The sequence below is a fragment of the Homo sapiens genome, chromosome 3, assembly GCF_000001405.40.
Source record: "Homo sapiens chromosome 3, GRCh38.p14 Primary Assembly".
Classification (NCBI taxonomy): Eukaryota; Metazoa; Chordata; class Mammalia; order Primates; family Hominidae; genus Homo; species Homo sapiens.
In genome coordinates, this window is record NC_000003.12 from 167701652 (window position 1) to 167726746 (window position 25095).

Consider the following 25095-nt stretch of genomic DNA (forward strand, 5'->3'; position numbering starts at 1 on the left):
CCTTTAAAGCTCATTATACATGGAACCATAAGGCCTCTATGGAAATGGCTGTCAACAATCCTTGGTAGAAAGAATACCATGAAAGTCTGGAAGAATTACACCACTGATGCTACTGTTGTTATAGAAAAACCCATCGAGCCTAAAACAATAAATTTCTGCTGGAGAAAACTGTGTCCACATGTTGTGCATGACTCCACAGGATTTACAACAGAGCCACGGAAATCATGAAAGAGATTGTAGATATGGTTAAAAAAAACGTAGAGGATGAAAGGTTTCAAGATATGGATATCAGAGAAATTTAAGAGCTAATGGACAATGAGGAAGAAGACAAAGGAGTGCCAGAAAACAAATGGACATTAGACAACCCAGCAGAAGAGTTCTCTTTATTCAAGGCTGCTTTATGACATGGACCCTTCTCTGATACAAGCACTGAAACTAAAGCAAATGTTGGAAGATTGGTACTGTACAGAAACATTTTTAGAGAAATGACAAAGCAAATAAGTCAGAAATTAAACATATTTCTGTAAAGTTACACTAAGTGTGCCTGCCTCTCTTGCCTCCCCATTCACCTTCTCTACTTCTGACATCCCTGAGCTAGCAAGACCAACCCCTTCTCTTCTTCCTCCTCCTCAGCGTATTCAATGTGAAAACGACAAGGATGCAGACCTTATGATGATCCACTTCAACTTAATGAATAATAAATATATTTTCTCTTATGATTTTCTTAATAACACTTTCTTTTCTGTGACTTTAAGAATACAGTATGTAATATATAGGATACACAAAACATATGTTAATCAACTGTTTTTGCTACCAGTAAGATGTTCTGGTCAACAGTAGGCTTTTAGTAGTTAAGATTTGTGGAAGTCAAAACTTATACTCAAATCTTCAACTCTGCAGGGGGTCAGCACCTCTAACCTCCACACTGTTCAAAGGTTAACTGTATATACATTAAAATATTCAATGGTATTATCTTGGGAAAAACTATTTTAATCCTCTTTTCCCTCCAAATAACAAAAACCATGATGAAAATTATTGTCGTTGCGGACCAATAATTGGAATTATGAATATAAAAGATTTTATGACTGGTGAGGTTTCTTTCATCTTTTTCAAAAGTTGTAATTTAAAAAATACAAGCATCTTTACATTTTTAACATGTCCTCCTTCAATTTCACTTGAAATGTAACAAACTAAATGTGATAATTAAAAATACATCAGTGTAAAATTAGTTACTTTGTTTTCTTCCAAAATAAGTAATCTATGCCATAGACAACAAACTTTATCCATGGATCAAACCACATCTATCACGGTCACATAATTGTACTTAAGTGTTAGATAATTAGCTTATATGTTAGGATGTTACAAGAAAAACCCTCAGGAAATTTATTATTTTATTTTATGAATGTCATTGAAGATACTATCTACTCCTTCGGACAGGGTCTTCTTCTCTCTGTTCCTGGCATTAGAAAAGCTGAAATATTGACTTTTCTCTTAGCAATACTACTGTACAGATTACTTTTCCTTCTTCTTTTGGCCACAAAGATGCTTAAGATAGCATCATGTCTCCCTAATGACCAAATATGCCATTCCAAAGCCAAACTGACACTCAAAGAAGAAAACAACAATAAAAAAAAAGAAAATGATTATGGTGTTGCTTCATTAACCCAATGATTTGGCAGGATGCAATTTAATGAAGCTACTAAATATATATGTACTCACCTTGAATCACAGAATATTAAATCAAAAAAGCTCTATTCTAACATACGTAATGTAGATTATTAAAGTAATATGAGATACCTAGTGACATGACTTGTGCTACCAGAAAAGAGTGTTATCAATAAACTTGTGTGACATGGAAGAAATCAAGCAGAATGGGCTTATAGTTTCAACTCCAATTAAAATATAAATGTATTCCACATTTAAACATTAAAATACTTTACCTAAAACACAGGTTATTTGAGCTACTGATGGGAAGGAATGCAAAAATAAAAATTAAAGTTTTGGGCACCATAATATATATTTGGGATGGAGGACCAGATAAAAGTTTTATATTAAAGAATGCATTCAACATGTACAGTAAGTCTCTAGAGTAGGGCTGTACAACAGAAATGTAATATCAGCAACAACTATGAGCTACCTATGTAATATTAAGCGGCCACATTTAAAAAAAAGTAAAAAGACACAGGTAAAATTATTTTAATAGTACATCCAAAATATTATTTCAACATGTAATCATTATAAAATATTTATTACTAAGCTAGTTTACTTTCTTTTTCTTATATGAAGTCTTCAAAATCTGTGTGTATTTTAACTTGGAACATATCTTGATCTGACCTAGTCTTATTTTTAAATGCTCAAAAGCAACATGTGGCTAGTGATAACCCACTGAACAGCTCAAGTCTAAAGACAAGGAAAACATTTATTTTGAGTAACTTAACTGTATATCCTCAAAGTATATTTAATTCACCATATTTGAAGGTATTACTTTCCCACTGAAAAACGTTTTTTAGACTCATGTTCTATAATTAAACAATAGAAAGAATACCTTTTCAAGTTACACTTTTACAAATACTTTTAAATTTTTACTTTATTTTGAGACAGGGTCTTGCTCTGTTACCCAGGCTGGATCACAGCGGCATGATCACGTCCCACTGTAACCTCAAACTCCTGGGCTCTAGCAATCCTCCTGCCTCAGCCTCCTGAGTAGCAAGAATGACAGGCACGCACCACCATGCCTGGCTAATATTTTTATTTTCTGTAGATACAGGGTCTTGCTATACGGCCCAGGCTGGTCTTGAGCTCCAGGTCTCAAGTGATCCTCCCACCTCAGCCTCTCAAAGTGTTGGGATGACAGGTATGAGTCACCACGCCCAGCCATATAAGTTTTCAAAAGGTCAAATAATAGAAAAAAAAAAAAACCCTCAAAAATATAATCTACAGCTAAGGAGAGAACACTCTGAAAAACTCAGTTTCAAAAGCACAAAGTGATGAAAAGATGAATGCTAACGAAATAACATTTGTTCTAGTTTATCTTTTGGAAGTGTTTTAAGCTTTATGGAATATAGTAAAACAGGCATAAGATGGCTAAAAAGGCTTTCCCTTAAAGAAAATAAACTGGCAACCATCACATGTACTTACATTTACAAAGAACATACACTTTAATAATCATAGTAAATTATTTGCACCTCACCTTGATGAAAGCGGCTCTCAGTGTCTGGGCTGCAGACAGATTTACTCGTTCTAGCTGCAATAAAAATTTTAAATTATTATGAATATCAACTTTCTTGGAAAAAGCACATTTCTGAGATTCCATTCTGTAGCAATCACATGAACACATTAAACATTTAATCAACATTCTTGTTAACAATTGTACATCACCGTAATTCTTCAATTAGGCTATCAAAATTTTCAATGAAAAAATATATGTCCTTAATTTTTTATTAAAAAAATTAAAAGCAACCCATATGCTTTTAATTTTTATATCAAACATGTGAGGTTTATAATTTCAAAAGATTAACATCCTTACTACACATGTTAATTCAGTTTTCAGTGAACCAAAGGCACAGAATTTCATAATTTCATAAAAATAATTCCATTTGTAAAGAGTTAACTGCCAGGCTTAAAAAACCTAGCTTCTGTTAAATTCTGATTTTTTCAGTCCTTAAGGATTGAGCTAGTTAACTCAATAAAACTCAATTGTATATATTTTTTACTTGGGACAATATTAAATTGGAAACAATGTAATCTATATAGATTTTTACCAAGTATAATATTTCTACACAAACCTTATGAACATATATCATATTATGCAATAAAGTCTTCCCTTGAGGCAACAAAAGTGTAAGTTTTGCTTCAGAAATCTCCTGTATGGGATCTCTAACACATTAAATCAATTTATTTTCTAAACAAGACAGTTACAAATGCCAAGAACCTTGCAACTCCCTACAAATGACTAACTTTAAGCACAAAGCAAAAGCAACAGAATCTGACAAGATAATTTATCTGCCAAAAAACAATGAACCATTTAGCTTAATATTTAACATGACTTCTAACAAATCTTGTAAAATCTAATATTGCCTCAGTAGATAAAAAAGGCATAAACAGCCCAGTAAACAAATGTAGAAAGAAATAACTATATAAGTAGTTCATAATTAACAAAGATATGTTTCCAAAAAATGAAAAAAGTTTCCTACTTCCAAGTAATTAATATAATTATAGTGACTATTACTAAGATTAAAATAACAATATAGCTCATTAGATCTCAAGTTCTTGTTATTCAAGAAAGGCAGGGACAGATATAAAGAATGAATGTTTCTGTTTTGATAGGAACCCATTTCCTTACTTAGGTTTACACCACACTCTGACCTCTTTTAAAAAGGTCTGAGTCAGCTGTGTGCCTTCAAGTATCAGCGTTATTAGTTCACTCTGTATAGCCCTGAATGGTATGTGAAAGGATCCAGACAAGTAAAAGTGCCCAGAAAGTTCATGAAGAGCTAACAAGATTATCTGAGATAGGTAACAGCATCTCTAGATTTCTAGACTCATTTTAATTACGTGAACCTTACAAAAAGAATAAGTCACAGGAAGGTCAGACATATACTAAATCAAAAATCTGTGAGCTGAGAAGCACTTCACCAAAATTCTGTTGGGAGTCACTTGGAGATACACTGTAGTCATGCATCGCTTAATGATGGGGATGGATATGTTTTGAGAAAAATGTCATTAGGTGATTTCATCATTATGTGGACATCACAGAGTGTACTGACATAAACCTACAGGGATAGCCTACCACACACCTAGGCTGTATGATACAGCCTACTGTGTCTAGGCTACAAACCTGATGTTTACTGAACTACTATAGGCAACTGTAACACTATGTATTTGTGTATGTAAACATAAAAGAGGTAATGTTGCGCTACAATGAACAATGGCTTTAACATCACTTGGTGAGAGGAATTTTTCTGCTCAATTATAATCTTATGGGACAACCATCATATATGCCATCCATCTACCAATGACTGAAATGTTATGTGCCACATGACTGCATATACCCATAGGCCTTACAATAAAGTCAAAAGCCTTTCTTCCTCATATGGTATTGATATATTCATGGTGTCCAGGACAGTACCAGGCATATATCCATTGTTTGAACTGAATTTAATCTCTTATCCATAAATTTATCTAAACTGTTCTTAAATCTATTTATAATTTCAGCCTGTACTAGTTAGGTAGCAAAATATGTTATCTTCTTCTCCATTTTACAAAGGAAGAAACTCAGTTTGACTCTGAATCCTGTATACAAGCCACTAATGCTACCCTGACTCCCTGTACTCACTCTTCCAGACTGGAGTCCACTCTGTCACTGAATATCTTCAACCTGGTTCTTTAAGGACTGACATATTCTTGAGTTCCTACCATGTACTTGAGTTCCTACATGTACAACGTGAAGCAGCTATATGAAAAGTGGAGTGACTGCCATCAGTTGAAGCAGAAAGAAGTCTTTATAAACATGGGATTTGAACTGATCTTTAAAAAGTGTGTTCCGGCCTCTTAAAATCATCCTCCTGGGGAGTTCTCCCACTTAGAAGTTTCTTCAGGGTTGGTAACACATGGAATGTAATGATTTCATGTAAATTTAGGAAAGAAAATTTCCACTTTGTTTTCAGTCTCTTTAGAGTCCAGCACTTTCCGAGCTTTAGGGATAACGTCTTTGGCTAGGGTAACTTTAAAGAATAAACACAGTAAGGCTGGGCACGGTGGCTCACGTCTGTAATCCCAGCACTCTGGGAGGCCTAAGCAGGCGGATCACAAAGTCAGGAGATCGAGACCATCCTGGCTAACAAGGTGAAACCCAGTCTCTACTAAAAATACAAAAAAAAATTAGCTGGGCGTGGTGGCAGGTGCCTGTAGTCCCAGCTACTCGGGAGGCTGAGGCAGAATGGTGTGAACCTGGGAGGCAGAGCTTGCAGTGAGCCGAGATCACACCACTGCACTCCAGCCTGGGCGACAGAGCGAGACTCTCCATCTCAAAAACAAAACAAAACAAAACAAAACAAAAAAAACAGATTAAACACAATAAACTTCTTAGTAGTAACTGACAGTGCATACACTGTATTTTGGGTCCCCTGAAGGAGGAAATTGTGACTGCACCTTGCATTAATGGATACTGCGACAGTGAGAAGCACTGCTTGGGCCTCAGTTACACAGTATGTCCATGTAACCAGTAAAAGAGTAAGAGAAAATAAGAGAATCAGAGTGAGAGAAAAGGTTTGTAACATACTTCATCTCTCCTAAAAGAGAAGGAAAAGTGCCTCCTGAAGCACATTTGGAGACAATGGATAGGCTGGGTAAGCCTAACAGGAGGTCTTACCTCAACCCCCATTCTGCCTACTGTTTTGTGAACTCCTTCTGTAACTTATTGTTGATAGCCTTTAAGAACACTTACACTTACTATCAACCACAAACCAGGCAAATTTACTCTGGTCCACTTATAAAAATATTTTAAAAGCTTCCATATAATTCAGATTCCATGGAGAGGACATTTGTTGTTTTGCTCTCTCCAAAAGTATCAGTTTCTTCTACACTTTTCCAGCATCAAGTTTCCTAAAACCATAATTAAAAAAAAAAAAAAGCCATTTAGCCCTTTGGTTACTCAAGTTTTAAAAGACTCCTGCTTTCACACTTTTGTGAAAGCTGTGTGTTTTGTTGTTGTTGTTGTTTGTTTTAAAGGTCAAAATAATTAGATTAACTGGTTTTGAATTGTGTACAAATCTACTTGCTTCCTCAAAATCAGGCAAGATTTGATTTTTCCATGTTCACGCCCCTCTCCCTACCCACAGTGAACAGATTGTTGATCTTATTTCTTAAAAAGAACTAAACTGGGCCAACTTACAAGAATAAAAACTTCAAATACATCTCCTGAAATTCAAATAAAAATGAGGTGAGCCAGGTAAAAGTAAACAAGCTTGCTAGAAAGACAGAAGTAATGGAATCAAGAAGTCACTTATTAGTTTTTGAACTGTCACAGAGAAAGATTTGTCCATGTGAAGTTCAACGCATGCTTCTAAAAGAATCAGTTCTGTGGGCTGCCAAGCTGTCTGGCAAAAAAGGTAAGCAGAACCACCTATTATAAAAATATTCCATTAAAACACTGCCTCCAAGTATACAAAACTGTGAAATATATGCGAAAGATTCCTTAACAATAACTAACACTTACTATACAACTAGTACTATTTTAAACACTTTACAATACATCAACTTACTTATTTCACAGAGTTGTTGAGATAGTGAAGTACACCACTGTTTATCCCCATTTTATAAATAAGGAAACAGATAAGATTAAATAGCTTACTAAGAAGAAGAGCAATAATTCAAACCCAAAATGCTAATTATGATCACTTCCTGATGGTAGGATTGCAGATAAAATCCCTACCTGCATTGTGAAGAATGTTTACTATGCTCAAAGTTTGAGGTCTGGTTTATTTTATCTTAACATGAAAAAAAAAAACTAAGAGGGGAGGCGAAGCAAGATGGCCGAATCAAAGCCTCCATTGATGGTCCCCTCTGCAGGAATACCAATTTTACCAACTACACACAAAAAAGCACTGCCAAAGAACCAAAAATCAAGTGAGCAATCATAGTACCTGGTTTTAATTTCATATTGCTGAAAGAGGCAATAAAGAGAGTGGAAAAGACCATCTTGAAACACTGATGCCACCCCTCCCCCCATCCCGCAATAGCAGCTGTGTGGCATGGACAAAGAATATGTGCACTTGGGTGGAGAGAGCACAGCAACTGGGAGACTTTGTACTAAACTTAGTGCTGATCAATCACGGTGGAGAGCAAAAGTGTGCTGGGTTCAGCTAGCAGCCACCCACAAAAGGTAGCATTTGGACGTGACACGGTCAGAGGAGAATCACCGATCCAAGAGGTTGGAAATTGAGTAAGCCTTGCCACCAAGGGCTAAAGTGCTCTAGAGTCTCAGATAAACTTGAAAGGCAGTCTAGGACACAAGGACTGCAATTCCTGGACACGTCTTAGTGTTGTGCTTAGAGCCAGTGGACTAGGACAGCATGCAACCAAAAGACCCACCAGACAGGGCGACCAAGGGAATGGATGTGTCACTCCTCCCCCAGTCCCAGGCAGCAGAGCTCACAGAATAAGAGACTCCTTCCTTCTGCTTCAGGATAGGAAGGCAACAAGTAAAGGCAACAGGAGTGTGTCTTTTATCTTGTATACCAGCTCAGTCACAGTAGGATAAGCAACAGGCAGAGTACTGAGACCCCATTCCAGGCCCTATCTCCTGGACAACATTTCTAGACACACCCTGGGCCAAAATGGAGCTCACTGCCCTGAAGGGAAGGATCCAATCCTGGCAGGATTCATCGCCTGCTGACTAAAGACCACTCGGGCCCTGAATAAACAACAGCGATACCCAGGTAGTACACTGTAGGCCTTGGTTGAGATTCAGACATGCTGGTTTCAGGTGAAACCCAGCAAATTCCCAGCTCACTGTGGTGGCTATGGTGAGAGACTCCTGCTTGAAAAAAGCAAAAGGAAATATAAGAGGGATTTTGTCTTACATCTTAGGTACCACTTTGGATCTTGGGGTCCCCGAGTCCAGGCCTAGGCTTTTGGACAGCATTTCTAGACCTGTCCTGGCCCAGAGAGGAGCCCATTGTCCTGAAGAGTGAAGCTCAGGCTCGGCAGCAATCACCACAGGCTGACTGAAGAGCCCTTGGGTTTTAAGTGAACATCAACCATGGCCTAGCAGAACTCCCCATGTGCCAGTGACCACAGAGAGAGGCTCCTCTGCCTGTAGAAAGGAGAGAGAAAAATGGGAAGAACTTTGTCTTGTGCTTTCAGTGCCAGCTTAGCCACAGTAGGAAAGAACACTAGGTAGATTTCTAAGGTTTTTGACTCTTAATTCTTGGCCCCCAGAGCACATCTCCAGACCATCTGGGGCCTGGGGAAATTATCATACTGAAGGGAAGGACATAAATGTGGCTGGCTTCACTACCTGCTGATTGTAGAACCACAGGGCCTTGAGTGAACACAGGCTTTAGCCAGGTAGTGTTTACAGCAGGCCTTGGGTCACACCCAGTGCTGTGCTAGCTTTAGGTCTGACCCAGTGCAATTCCAGAGGTGGTGGCAACAGGGGTGTCACCCCTCCCCCAGCTTCAGGAAGTTCAGCACAGAGAGACAGAAAGAAACTACATTTGTTTGGGAGAAAGTAAGGAAAGAGAACAAGACCCTCTGCCTGGGAATCCAGAGAATTCTTCCAGATCTTAGTCAACACCACCAAGGCGGTGGTATCTCTAGGAGACTGGAAGAACCACAGCATTATTGAGCTTGGGGCCCAAGTCCCTCAGAACACTTAGAAAGTCTTCCCAAGAAAGATGGGCAAAAACAAGCCCAGACTGCAACAACTACAATAAATACCTAACTCTTCAATGACCAGACACCAACGAACATCCAGAAGCATCAAGACCATCCAGAAAAACATGACCTCACCAAACAAACTAAATAAGGCACCAGGGACCAATCCTGCAGAAACACAGATATGTGACTTCTCAGACAGAGAATTCAAAATGACTGTGTTGAGGAAACACAATGAAATTCAAGATAACACAGAGAAAGAATTCAGAATCCTATCCGACAAATTTAACAAAGAGACTGAAATTATTTTGTAAAATCAAGCAGAAATTCTAGAACTGAAAAATGCAACTGGCATACTGAAGAATGCATCAACCTCTTAATAGCAGAATGCATCAAGTGAAAGAAATAATTAGTGAGCTTGAAGACAGGCTATTGAAAATGCAGAGGAGACAAAAGTAAAAATAAGAATTAAACACTCCTACAAGATCTAGAAAATAGTCTCAAAATGGTGAACCTAAGAGTTACTGGCATTAAAGAGGAGGTAGAAAAAGAGATAAGGGTAGAAAGTGTATTCAAAGTGATAACAACAGAGAACTTCCCAAACCTAGAGAAAGATATCAACATCTAAGTACAAGAAGGTTATAGAACACCAAGAAGATTTAATCCAAAGAAGACTGTGTCGAGGCATTTAATAATCAACCCCCCAAAGGTCAAGCATAAAGGATCCTAAAAGCAGCAAGAGAAAAGAAACAAATAACATATGATGGAGCTCCAATTTGCCTAGCAGAAGACTTTTCAGTGGAAACCTTACAGGCCATGAGAGAGTAGTATGATATATTTAAAATGCTGAAGGAAGAAATTTTTATCCTAGAATATCCAACAAAAATATCCTTCAAACATGAAGGAGAAATAAAGACCTTCCCAAACAAATGAAAGCTGAAAGATTTCATCAACACTAGACTTGTCCTAGAAGAAATAACAAAGGGAGTTTGATCTGAAAGAAAAGGACATTCAGGAGCAATAAAAAATCTTCTGAAAGTACAAAACTCACTGGTAATAGTAAATACACAGAAACACACAGAATATTATAATACTGTAATTGTGGTGTGCAAGCTACTCTTAAGTAGAAAGACTAATGATGAATCAATCAAAAATAATAACTATAACAACTTTTCAAGACAAACCGTACAATAAGACGTAAAGAGAAACAACAAAAGTTAAAAAATGAGAGGGATGAAGTATAGAGATTTTATTAGTTTTCTTTTTGCTTGTTTATTTCAAAAGCTAAAAAATGACAGTAATGAAGTATAGAGATTTTATTAGTTTTCTTTTTGCTTATTTATGTAATCAGTGATAAGCTGACATCAGTTTGAAATAATAGGTAATAAGATAGTGTTTGCAAGCCTTATGATAACCTCGAAACAAAAAACAATGTATACACCAAAAATAAAAAGCAAAAAATTAAAACATACCACCAGAGAAAACCACCTTTGCTAAAAGGAAGACAGAAAGGAAGGAAAAAAGGAAGAGAAGACCACAAAACAACCAGAAAACAAGTAACAAAATGGCAGAGGTAAGTCCTTACTTATCAATAATAGCATTGAATGTGAATGGACTAAACTAGTCAAAAGAAAAAGAGTGGCAAATGGATTAAAAAACAAGAACAACCTGTTGCCTACGAGAAACACATTTCACCTATAAAGACATCTGAACTCAAAATAAAGAGACGAAAAAAGATATTCCATGCAAATGGAAACCAAAAAAAGAGTAGGAGCAGCTGTATTTGTATCAGACAAAACAGATTTCAAGACAAAAATTATAAGGAGACAAGGTCATTATATAATGATAAAGGGGTCAATTCAGTAAGAGGATATGATAATTGTAAATATATATGCACCCAGTCCTGGTGTACCCAGAAATATAAGGCAAATATTATTAGAACTAAATAGAGAGACTGAGCAAAATACAATAATAGCTGGAGACTTCACCACCCAACTTTCAGTGTTGGACAGATCTTTCAGACAGAAAATCAACAAAGAAACATCAGACTAAATCTGCACTATAGACAAATGAACCTAAACAGAATATTCCATAGAACAGCTGTAGAATACACATTCTTTTCCCCAGCACATGGATCATTCTCAAGGACAGATCATATGTTAGGTCACAATACAAGTCTTAAAACATTCAACTAGTATCAAACATCTTCTCTAAACACAATCAAATAAAACTAGAAACCAGTAACAAGAGAAATTTTTGAAACTATACAAACACAAGGAAATTAAACAATAGGCTTCTGAATTAACCGTGGATAAATCAAAAACTTAAGAAAGAAAATGAAAAATTTCTTGAAACAAGTAACAGAAACACAACATACCAAAACCTATGGGATACAGTGAAAGCAGTACTAAGGAAGTTTATAGCTTTAAGTGCCTACATCAAAAGAGAACAAACAATTCAAATAACACACATCTTAAACAACCAGAAAAGAGCAAACCAAACCCAAAATTAGTAGAGGAAAAGAAATAATAAAGATCAGAGATAAATGAAATTGAAACAAAGAAAATACAAAATATCAATGAAACAAAAACTTGGTTTTTTGAAAAGATAAGCAAAATTGACACAACTTTAAACCAACTAAGAAAAAAAGAAGACCCAAATAAATAAAATCAGAGACGAAAAGGTAGCCATTACAAACTGATACCATAGAAACTCAAAGGATCATTAGTGGCTACTATGAGCCACAGTATGGCAATAAATTGAAAAATCTAGAGGAAATGGATAAATTCCCAGACATATACCACTTATCAAGACTGAATCAGGAAGAAATCCATAACCTGAACAGGCCAATAACCAGTAACAAAATCAAAGCTGTAATAAAAACATCACCCAGTAAAGAAAAGCCCAGGATTCAATGGCTTCACTGCTGAATTCTGCCAAACATTTGAAGAACCAATACCAACCCTACTCAAACTATTCCGAAAAATAGAGGAGGCGGGAATACTTCCAAACTCATTTTACAAAGCCAGTATTACCCTGATACCAAATCTGGGCAAAGACACATCAAAAAAGGAAAACTACAGGCCAATCTCTGATAAATAAATCCTCAACAAAATACTAACAAACCAAATTCAACAATACATTAGAAAGATCATTCATAATAACCAAGGAGATTTATCCCAGGACGCAAGGATGGTTCAATATATGCAAATCAATCAATGTGATACATCTTATCAACAGAATGAAGGACAAACATCATATGATCATTTCAGCTGATGCTGAAAAAGCATATGATACAATTCAACATCCTTCATGATAAAAACTCTCAAAAAAGCCTTTCCTCTACGATGTGGTAAACGACAAGGATGCCCACTGTCACCGTTATTCAACACAGTACTGGAAGTCCTAGCTAGAGCAAACTATACAAGAGAAAGAAATAAAAGGCATCCAAATTGGAAAGGGAAGAAGTCAAATTATCCTTGTTTGTAGATGATATGATCTTATATTTGGAGAAACCTAAAGACTCCACAAGGAAACTATTAGAACAGATAAATTAAGTAAAGTAGCAGAATATGAAATCAACATATAAAAATCAGCAGCATTTCTATATGCCGACAGTGAAAAATCTGAAAAAAACATTTAAAAAAGTAATCCCATTTACAGTAGCCACAAATAAAATTTAATACCAAGGAATTAAGTTAACCAAGGAACTAAAAGACCTTTACAATGAAAACTATAAAACACTGACGAAGGCAATTGGACACAAAAAAGGGAAAGATATTCTATGTTAATGGATTGGAAGAATCAATATTGTTAAAATGCCCACAGTACTCAAAGCAATCTACAGATTCAATGTAATCCCTAGCAAAACACCAATGACATTCTTCACAGAAATAGAAAAAACAATCCTAAGATTTATACAGAACCACAAAAGACCCAGAATAGCCAAAAAGAATGAAACTGGAAGAGTCACACTGCCTGACTTCAAACTATTCTATAGAGCTATAGTAGCCAAAATGCCATCTACTGGCAAAAAAAAAACCAGACCAATGGAACAGAATAGAGAACCCTGAAACAAATGCATATGCCTACAATGAACTCAATAACAACAAAGGTCCCAAGAACATATACTGGAGAAAAGAGTCCCTTTAATAAATGGTGCACAGAAAACCGGATATTCCTATGTAGAAGAATGAAAGTGGATCCCTATCTCTTGCCATATATAAAAATCAAATCAAAATGGATCAAAGATTTAAAACTCAATCATCAAACTATGAAACTACTACAGGAAAACATCCACAAAACTCTCCAGAACAATAGTGTGGGTAAAAATTTCTTACATAATACCCCACATGCACAGGCAACCAAAGGAAACATGGACAAATAGCACATCAAGTTAAAAAGCTCTGCAGACAAAGGAAACAATCAGCAAAGTGAAGAGACAACCCACAGAATGGGAGAAAATTGCAAACTGTCACTCTAACAAGGGATTAATAACCACCATCTATAAACAACTCAAACAACTGTACAGGAAAAAAAAATCTAATAATGCAATTTTAAAATGGGCTAAAGATCTGAGTAGACATTCCTCAAAAGAAGACATACAAATGACAAACATGCATATGAAAAGGTGCTCAACATCATAGACCATCAGAGAAATGAAAATCAAAACTACAATGTGGTATCACCTCATCCCAATTAAAATGGCTTTTAACCAAAAGACAAGGAATAACAAATGCTGGTAAGGATATGGAGAAAGGAAAACCCTGGTATAGTGTTGGCTGGAATGTAAATTAGTACAACCACTATGGAGAACAGTTTGGAGGTTCCTCAAAAAACTAAAAACAGAGGTACCATATGATCCTCTGGTACCAGCAATCCCAATGCTGGGTATATAGCCAAAAGAAGGAAAATCAGTATGTAGAAGAGATTTCTACACTTCCATGTTTGCTGCAGCATTGTTCACAACAGCCAAGATTTTGAAGCAACCTAAGTGTCCATCAACAGATGAACAGATAAAATGTGGTACACATACACAATGGAGAACTATTCGGCCATAAAAAGAATGAGATCCTGTCATCTGTAACAACATGGCTGGAACCAAGGTCATTATGTCAAGTGAAATAAGCCAGCTACAGATAGACAAACTTCAAAAGTTCTCATTTACTTGTGGAAGCTAGAAAATAAAATAATTGAACTCATGGAGATAGAGAGATGGATGGTTACCAAAGGCTGAGGAGGATAGTGGGGGTGGAGAAGAAGTGAGGATGGTTAATAGGTACTAAAACATAGGAATAACGAATAAGACCTACTATTGATAGCACAACAGGGTTACAATAGTCAACACTAAATTATACATTTTAAAATAACTAAAAGAGTATAACTGGATGGTTTGTTATATAAAGGATAAATACTTGAGGGGATGGATAACCCATTCACCATGATGTGATTATTACGCATTGCATGCCTGTTTCAAAGTATCTCACGTACTCCATAAATACATACACCTACTATGTGCCCACAAAAATTTAAAAAAATTTAAAAATAATAAAAATAAGATTTTATCTTCTTAAAAAAAAAGTAGGTAGGTAACGTTGGAGAGGTATTCCAGGTTTCATTTGCTAACTAGGAAAAATTAAGAGTTCCATATCTGCTAATAATTCGCAGAAATAGCTGATTCAGATGCTTCTGAATGGAAACATATTAATTACTTACACAGAAGCATACTTTTGTGTAATTTATTAGTAAACAAACATATAAACCTTTGGTGACCTAAAATTCACATTTAGTTGCAAAATTGTTTATTTTTCAAAACATAATATATATTGCTTGAGAAAACAATTCCTCTAAATGGTCTTAGGAAAAGAAAACACAAGCCTTATTTTTTCCTGGAATCAAGAACTGAATCACCATTCTCTCCTCCCCGATATACAAAGAATCACTACAAAGTAATAGTTATGTGAGAACCTGATATGACATGAAATTAGGTTTCCAGAAATCCATTATTCCATAATGCAATCAGGGGACCTATTTCACAGTACATTTACAACACATGCAATAAACTTGGACTCTGAACTCCACAGCAGCTGATTAAACAAGAAGCCTACTTCTTCTCAGCTGTCCTGGCATAGCTTTATTAAGTCTAGCAAACATCGAACTTCCAGAATGCCATAAATAACTTTGGCTTGCAAGCTGTAGTAACAGTACTAAAATTTCCTCAGGTGTAAACATGTCCTACTAGCTAGAAATCCTTTAAAAGATGATTACTAGACTACCATTGTAGCTATCATGGATCTAACGTTAAGGTGAGAAGGAATAATCATTTTAACTCTTACAATACACTGTAGACAAGATTTAGTGAATCATTTAGCTTCAGAGTAAAACGGTCATCCTTACTATGGTACAATTTTGCAGATTAATTTGACAACCACTTTCACCTTTAAATCTGCACAGCACAGAAAAAGCCAAACTAAAATATAATTTCCCTATTAGATATATAGAGAATTTCATAGGTAAACTATAAACACTAATGTTTAATTGATTAGGTATCTTATTTATATGTTATGTTAACAAACTAAAACACCAAATAATAATCCTAGTATTTCATTCTTTTTTAACCAAACACCTCATATTTGAAGGAACATTATTTTACTCCACTCCCAATTCAAGCCCTAAATTTCATCTCCATATCAAAGAGGAAACCCTAATAAGTACCATCCCTATTTCTAAAACCCTATACTTCTGAACATGCCTTTGAATACATGACAGAAATAATTTTTTTAAACGCTTGACACCATGCTGTTAATGTTTGATCAGTAAATTCAATTTGAGAATTATGCAAGAAAAAGGCCACTGAAATTGTTAGAACAAAAACCTTTTCTAATTTCTCTTCATTCACTAGAGGATTAAACTGAAGATGTGCAATGTAAATTTCCCTCCATTCAAGTAAGGGCTCAAAATACCAGATAAATAAAGAAAATTCTTCCAAACAACTTTGCCCAATAACTTATCAATTCAGAATATAGACATGAAAAGAAAGAGTGTCTCTGGGTGGAATTGTGATAATGGTTCCTGGAGTAACTGAGAAGGTCAAACTAAATTGTTACCAAGATAGGTTACTCACTAGCTTATAGGATCTGTCTCCTTATCAAATTTCTAGGGCAAGAATAATTTAAAAATTTACTTGCTTAAATATCTGTGTTTCCGAATAGATTCTTAAGAACATGCATGCAGCCTTTTTCACACCTCTAGACCCTAACAGAAGTATTCAGCAAACCAATGGGTGGCATTCAGTAAGTATTTACTAAACAGAACTGAAGCCACTTGCTTCTAACAGTAGCTCCTTGAAATGAATGGGTAAGTATCAGAAAAAAAATGGTGAAATTAATTACTGGTGTTGGCTACAGCTGCCAAAGAGGGACATAACCAGACCTAAAAAGTGTCTCCAATGCTACCATGGTGGCAGTTTAACAGGAGGTTTTTCAAAAGATGCTTCTTCCTTGATAACACTCCTGAATTTCTCCAACCCCTTTGTGGCTAGGTTTCGTCATTAGAATTAAGTTCTTGACAAAAAAATTAAGTGGAAGTCTTGTGTAGGCCTTTCAAAAAGGCTACTTTAAGGAAGCAAACTCAGCTAGATGCGGGACCCCACTCTCTGCCCCACTTTTTCCCCTTCCAGGCAACAACTTAGGATGTGATGGGTGGCTCTTCAGCAGCTATCTTGTATGCTGAGGTGACCTTGATTGATAATGGAAGCCAAACACTAGGATGACAGAGCAGAAGATAAGAACTTGAGTTTCTCATACTGAGTCATAACAATACTAGCCCTGGACCACTTACCTTCAGAATCTTTTATGTGACAGAGAAATAAATTTTTATCCAAGCCACCATTTTGTCCATTCTTCTATGGTTGTCAAACCTAACATTACTTGAGAGATAGTGTTTGAAAATTTAAAATGTTGACTGCATTGGCAACTAAATCTGTGGCTTTCATGGCAACGAGTGTAAATGGATCACTCTCTACTGCCCCTAAGACTTAAGATTATAGAATAAAACTGTAATCAAATCCAATAATGTGGAAAAAAATGGTTTTGAAATGCAGAATCTTACTTTAATGAAAGTATTTTACAAAGAGAGATGAAAATTCATTGGAAATGGTGAGAGCATATGGACTATAACAGTAACAATAAGGTTAATGGTACTAAAGGCAAATTAGATTAATAAAATAGCAAAAAAATATTAAAATTTTAAAAGGCTGAAGCCATTGAATTTGAAGTCTGGAGATCTTGATTTGATTTGTTATAGGTAATTTTAGGAAAATAATTTCACATATCAGGGCCTTAGTTCCCCATTATAGAAAAGGAATTAAATAATCTCTAAGAAAATTTCAGTTCCAGAATTCTCTACATACCTTAGCATGTTAATATTAATTTAAAAGAAAACCCCAAAATATATCAATATTAAGTCTAAGACAATTCTTCAAATTAAAAAGCAACTACATCTTCTCCAGATACAAAGCAATGATATCTTCCAAATATCGGTTTAAAAAGTTTTGTCACCACTGACAATATAATTAAGATCTTTGTGCCTGCTATTCTGGCTACCTAGAATGGACTTATCTCCAACTCTTCAATTAACTCTATTTATCTCTTTTAGATCTCTTTCAGGTCTTAGGATATATGTCTCTTCTTAAGTGAGGCCTGTCCTGACCCCTAGAGTAGGTCCCACCTATTTTCTTTCTTAACATACTCTGCTTTTACACTTCATAGTACTTCATCACCATTGTTCATTCATATAATTATTTGTGTTCTTTTATTAAATGTCTCTTTCCCATTATAGCATAATCTCTAGAGGGAAGAGGCATATCTGCTTGGCTTTGTTTTCACTATTTTTTGCCCTGATACAATGCCTAACGCACCGATAAGAGTTCATTCATGCTAGTATTTGTTATACAAAAGAACAAGCAGACGAATAAATAAAGCAGGAATTAAAGAATTGCAGAGTTCATGCAAGAACATGTTTACCCAACTCACCTCATTAAACACAGGATACATGACTGCATAGAGGGGCATAGAAACCATGGATGTGGTCTCAGCTTCATTCTTCATCTCTTCCATTGTCATCCTCATTCAAAAGCCAACTACAGTTGAAAAAGCAGTGCTAAAATGCAGAGGAATCTTCATTCACTGCAATATTTCTTCTCTTTTTTGGTGATAAAAGAATTGGACACAAAAAACACACTGATCTGGTGAAAGAGGAAGAAAGAACAGAGACTTACTATATTAAGGAGAAACGACAAATACCAATAATTTTCCTTTCCAAATTACAGAGTTCCTATTTTATGAAAAGCTATTTTTTAATATATTCTACTTGTGAAAGCAAACCTAGTTGGCAAGAAACTTACCTTTTCCTCCAAAGACTCAACAACTGCCCTTTCCTAAAGTCCTTGGTTAGGTACTACTTCACAAAGCAGTGACTTAAGACGCTGCTTAACCTGAACTCAGAGAGCTCTCTATGAAGCACCATGGAATAATGATGTATGTCATGCCACCATATACAATCTAAGAGAACATATGAATAAGACACATACTTATAATATTTATACATAATATAAAATTATAATCAGGAAATGCATGATGTGTAAGTGTGTGCAGAAAACCAAATCGAAGAATCAATAAAGAAGAAAGAACTAGGGTGTTTTAACATTTTTATTAAAACCTTTTTGCTACTTGTTTATTGATTTTGTCACCTGAAAATAACACAAACATAACAAGCACCAAATATGTCAAACATAAAATTGAAAAAAATTCTACCAAATGTGATCCACTTGGTAAAATACTTGCTACTTAATTGTGCCAGTGATACCTTCTGGTATTTAGAAGAACTACAGAAATTGTTGTCCAAATCTGACATAAAAAGTGAGAAAGAAGAAAAACCCAGAGGCTGGTAGTTTGGATTAAAATCAAGAATTCAACAATAAAAGAAATTTTGCCTTGAGGTGTTAAGGAAATATGTTAGTTTTTAAAGAGAATACAACTATATATTTCCTTTACTATGGTTTAAAAAAATGATCCTAATCATGAAGTGAATAACAGTAGTGACATACATATATTAAACAAAAAGCCATTTTTTGATTAATTTCTACTACTTGTAAAGCATTTTCATAGTATAAAACATTTTGCACATGCATTTAGTCCTATAATAACTTGCTTTAAAAAACTGCAATTCTAATTTTACAAGTGTAAAGCAGGCTCAGAGATAATAAATAACTTGCCCAAGATCACACAGGTAGAGACCCAAGACTTGATCCCAGGACTCTGAATACAGATCTTATACTCTCACATAACAAAACCAAATTTGAAGTGGAAATAAAGAACCCCACCTCATCTACTCAAGAAAAGTACCCAGAATTTATTATTCACTCAACATGTTCAGAGTATGTTTAACACTGCTAGGTATGAAGTGCAGTTCCTAATCATTAAAAATTTATCTGTGCCAGAATGTGTAAGACCTAACAAGACTGAAAGATACAATCAAAGGCCTGCAGTGACGCTTCAAAAAGCTCCAATAACCTGTTCCATTGGAAAGCTGCTTAGTATTCCACCATATCGCTACCAGTGAAAGGGAACTCAACACCTACGGAAACTGTTTAGTCCCATTTCTGACAGTTCTAAACATCAAAGAGTTTTCCTGTTTCTCACCTGAAACCTACTCCATGACTTGACAGAACAAAAAGAGCAAAAGGCGAATTCCTGAATTTCATTCTATGGGGAAAAAGAATACCATTACCTGATTATGTAACTTAGTTAAGTAGATGGCTTTGGTCACAGCATGATGGAGAGAATGGAGGAAGAATAACGACAAGGAAAACTTAACAGACTCAGTATACCTATGTCAGAAATAAACAAGACCAAAATAATAAGCAAAAAGAAGTAGATAAATACCAATTGTGGCCCTGCTGTTCCTATTTAGCTACTTAAGTCACTTGGTAATCTGCTTTTCCACTTCAAAATAAATTGGGAAAACTTCATAATAAAAAAAACCTGGGGAAAAGGAGGATGGCTAAAAGGCAGTGGTATCAGTTAAAATGAAAAGGACAGAATGAATGCAGAATATAGACAGCAGCAGAAGGCATGGTATCATCAATGAAAAATCAAGTAAGAAATGGCAAAACAAAACCAAGAACAGACCTTGAAGAGCTCTCATTGTGTGACAGAAAAAAAATTATTTATTTAATAAATATTTCAATGGTCACAAAGAGGCACGGTATTAAATATAGAGCAGTGAACAAGACAAGACAGTCTCTGACCCCATTAAACGTGTTTTATAAAAGGAAAGTCAGAAAACATACAACTGTGGTGCGCACAAAAGGGAGAAGTCAGGCTGCTATATCGCTACAGGAGAACTGGAGAAAACCAGCATCACGAAACAAGTTTCAAGAAGAAGGTAGCCAAAAGTTTTAAGTGCTACTGAGTATGGAAAGTAACTTTTAAAAAATTATTTGATTTCTTGATGAGGTTAAAGCGGTAACCTTCAAAGAGCGGAGTACTTATATACTGGGGTGAGAAATCCCTGCAGGGGCTAAGAGAGTGAGCTGGTAAGTTTTCAAGAATCTCGGTATAAAGGAGGTGAAATACTTATGAGAAAAGTAAGCACAATGGAATTACTCTTGTGTTTCACTCTTTTGAACACATACGCATATAACTGCAGATGTACAGGCTGCCAGAGGTAAAGGGATAAGGTAAGTGGCCAGAGTCACTTTCAGAATTACTGCTGACATCTCTACCTACCTACCCCCTATAAACCTACTCAAATACTTAATTTTTACCTTTTGTAAATACTGGCATTTAATATTTTTAAAACTCATGTTTAATAAATAGTCTCTTCTCTAAAACTAACTTTACAGTACTTATTTGTCAACAAAAAGAACAGTATTTTGGCAACATCATGGGCTACATAAGTGGCTGGCCTATGGCATACATGCCATCTTTTAATACTGTTCTTATGAAAAATGCTCCAAAGAACCAATTTAAAACTGAACTTTTTAGAACACACATTAACAACTGGGGCCACTCAGTTTCAGTAGCATTTACATGAGATTAGAAATCAACAATTCCAATACGGCTTTTAAAATATTGAATTACTGTCAATTTCAACTTCGAGTTAAAATATGCCTTTGTCATTCCTTCCGCATGCTTCTTCATTTGAAATAGTTCAAGGGACAACCTGCAATTACCCCATGCAACAAAGAGCCTGCTATGGAAACAGCAAGGGTTGGCTGAGCTGAGTGAGGTCTGAGGCCCCCTTTGACAAGGTGCCTTCCTTTTAGGATGAGTGTGACCAAGTCCCGGCAGCTGGGTAGCACATTAACAAAATTTCAACCCTCTAAGGTACACTATTTTCTGGAGTAGGTGCTGATTATGCACATACAGAAAACTGAAGATCACTGACTACAAATCCCACATCTGAAATGGCCTTAAAAAGTTATTTCACCCATTTCACTACCTACAGCAGAAACCGAAGTACAAAAAGGATGTAGTGACTTGCTCCTGGTCACAACATCTAGCTAATAATTAAATACATAATAAAAATGTAATGTTGGTATGATAACAACATAGCAAGAACTTTACGTCTCACGTTTCAAATGTGCTGCTTTGCAGGGAAATCTTCAGTTCAAAGTAAGCTTTGTGTACTGTTGGCATCCACAAAATAAAAACCAAGAACAAGAAATGTTGAAAGAACCTAGACAAAAGGCATACTTTTAAACACACTTTTCTTCAAAAACACCCATTGTGATATTGGGATATCAACACAGAGTATAAGCAATCTTCTCACTTATAATTTACCCCTCATTTTCTTGAATATTCAAAATAGCACTGCTAATTTTTAACAGAAGATAATCAGCTTTAAATATCTTCCTGAGCTGAAGATAATTATCACTTGCTTAGAGTAAGAAGCCCAAAAACAGGTATTCGCCACTCCGCTGCCAAACTCTTAAATCTTTGGTGTTTCTGCCCTCCCTAACCAACTCGAGTCTGCTCATTTAAAGAGCCACACATGGGTATATCTCAGGGCTCAGAATCAGTATTTCCTGAAACTGCCTTACTTTACTCCATCTGGGACTTGAGATAAGTCTAGAGCCAAAGCTATTTACTATCAAATGAAAGGAGAGGAACAACAGAAGCTCTTGGTACTGGTATAGGCACTTCTCAGTTAGAAAAACAGCTTTTTAAGTAATTCTACACTTAAAACGTTTGTAGGCAGGCAGGTCTTTTTGTCTTGCTTTTCTCTCTAGTAAAATCCAGTACTCAGCCCTCTTGGCCCTAAATTCTTATAATTCCTATAATTTCTCTCTCTAAAAAGGGAAAGATTGATTGACTGACTGATGTATGCTGGATCTCCAACAAATGTGCATGAACATTCAGTTAAGAGAAGTGTGTTCATTCTAGCAGTGAGCAGAATCCTGTGTTTATGTTCCCATTTATAAGTGTGTTTCTTCTTCCCAATAGAGACATTACAGTCAGCATAGCGGGCACATAACAGACACTTAATGTTTGCTGAATGACCAAATTCATGAGTTGAGATGGGCAATTTATAAATTGAATCAGTCTTGCTAATATACTTTTCAAATAGCATGCCTAGCAAAATAAAAACAAACACAAAAATCAAATTAATTCTATTAACAAAGCCTGGACCCAGCCACATTATCACTGGAACCAAAATTCAGTGATAATAAGACTTCATTATTGTTATCAGCTATACTTTCCAAAGTAATCTAATAGGAATTTCTTTAAGACAAATTTTTCTTTAAGCATCAAATCATTAAAAATTATTTACAAATTCTAATTAAGGAGGTCCTCCCCAAGAGTTGGTTAACCCAGGATTTCAATTAACTGACAATTCCTTGCTTTCTCTCAATAATATAACACAGAGAATCATACTCATCAGCTGGGCACGGTGGCTCATGCCTGTAATCCCAGCACTTTGGGAGGCCAAGGCAGGTGGATCACTTGAGGTCAGGAGTTCAAGACCAGCCTGGCTAATATGGTGAAACCCCATCTCTACTAAAAATACATAAACTAGCCAGATGCGGTGGTGGGCTTCTGTAGTCCCAGCTACTCAGGAGGCTGAGGCAAGGGAATTGCTTGGACCTGGAAGGCGGAAGTTGCAGTGAGTCGAGATCGTGCCACTGCACTCCAGCCTGGGCAACAGAGCGAGACTCTGTCTCAAAAAAGAAAAAAAAAAAAAAAAAAAAAAAAATCACTCATCAAACTCTTAGAGAAAATGGATTTTTACAAAGACTGTATAGATGGTAGTCTGGCCATTTAACAAAGCGGGGTGGGGTTAACATTTGCTGACACAGTTTACGTACCTTTTTAGGGCTTTCTCATGCCAAAATGCTGTTAGTCACTTCCAAACAAGAGACCAAGATTTAGAGGAGAAAGCTAGGAAAAAGGGAGGCAGAGGAATAGGGTAAGTCAGTGATCCTACTTAGAGTAAAATGAGCTTGATGTCTTAAGGATATACCTACATCTCTCTCCTTGACTTGCAAATTACATCTTCTATAATTCAATGTCTTCCATTTCCAGTTTTCTTAATAAAGTTAAGTGGAACCTAACCTCCCTGAACATACACTACTGTCAGTTTAGTACTTACAGAATTTTACACTTAGGGACATCTAGAAGCAATCTCTTGTTAATGGTAAGTGTATATAGCACTTTACCATTGTATCGTTTATATATATATATATATATATATATATATATATATATATATATATATATGCTTTAAAAATATTAAATGGACAATTTGTGCAGAAAGATACAGGGAAAAAGCATAAGCATTTAAAGTCTCAAAGCATGGGCTCAAATTCTGGTCCTGTCATTCATAAACTATCTTTGTCTCTGAACAAGTCATTTCACCTCTCTATCCTTTGGTTTCTTCTTTAATATGTCTGACAACTCTAGGGTACTTAGCAGCACAAGCTTGTGGATCTTCAACTTGGTGCTGCTGAGACTTCCAGCTCATCTTAAAAGTTAACTGCACCATGTCAAGTGTATGCACTTACATATTTTGTAGAGTACTGTTTTTTTTTTTTTTTTTTTTTTTTGAGACAGAGTTTCACTCTGTCACCCAGGCTGGGGTGCAGTGGCGTACCTCCACCCAGGTTCAAGCGATTCCCCTTCCTCAGCCTCTCGAGTACTGGGATTATAGGCACCTGCCACCACGCCTGGCTATTTTGTATTTTTAGTAGAGATGGGGGTTTCACCATGTTGGTCAGTTTGGTTTCAAACTCCTGACCTCAGGTGATCCACCCGCCTCAGCCTCCCAAAGTGCTGGGATTACAGGCGTGAGCCACTGTGCCTGGCCAGAGTACTGTTTCTTAATACAGAAATTTATAAAATGGGTAAGAAGTAACTTTTTCTACACATAGATAGACAGTATACAGCAGGAGATAGTGCTCAGTTTGGAAGGAAAAAAACCTCAGTTTGAATTTTTGCTCAGCTGGATGCTATCATTTCAGTTTTGTAAATCTCTATTTCTAAACTAGTGAGAAACAGAAATACTGAAGTACTCACTTCCCCAGATTAAGAGTACTAACTGCATATAAAATAGTTACTACAGTGGCTAACACATAATAACCATTCTATTCATATTGTTATTAATATTTTAGCCAAAATTCTAGGAACCTGACATGGAATCGATTGCAACTAGGGT

General features: G+C 36.0%; 1 protein-coding gene across 12 annotated transcripts in view; it reads right to left on the reverse strand.

The window, feature by feature from the left end:
* Window positions 1-25095, reverse strand: part of PDCD10 (programmed cell death 10) — a 51595-nt gene that overhangs the window by 18354 nt on the left and 8146 nt on the right. For 6 of the 12 annotated variants that reach the window (NM_145859.2, XM_011512368.4, XM_011512369.4 and 3 more), the window contains 3 exons: window positions 23750-23822; window positions 18411-18622; window positions 3191-3244 (listed from right to left, as the gene is read on the reverse strand). In NM_145859.2, coding sequence (NP_665858.1) covers window positions 3191-3244; window positions 18411-18506 — 150 coding nt within the window. In that variant the 5' untranslated portion in view covers window positions 18507-18622; window positions 23750-23822. The remainder of the gene's footprint in view (window positions 1-3190; window positions 3245-18410; window positions 18623-23749; window positions 23823-25095) is intronic. The other 6 variants (NM_145860.2, NM_001439202.1, XM_005247087.6 and 3 more) reach the window with 1 other exon arrangement.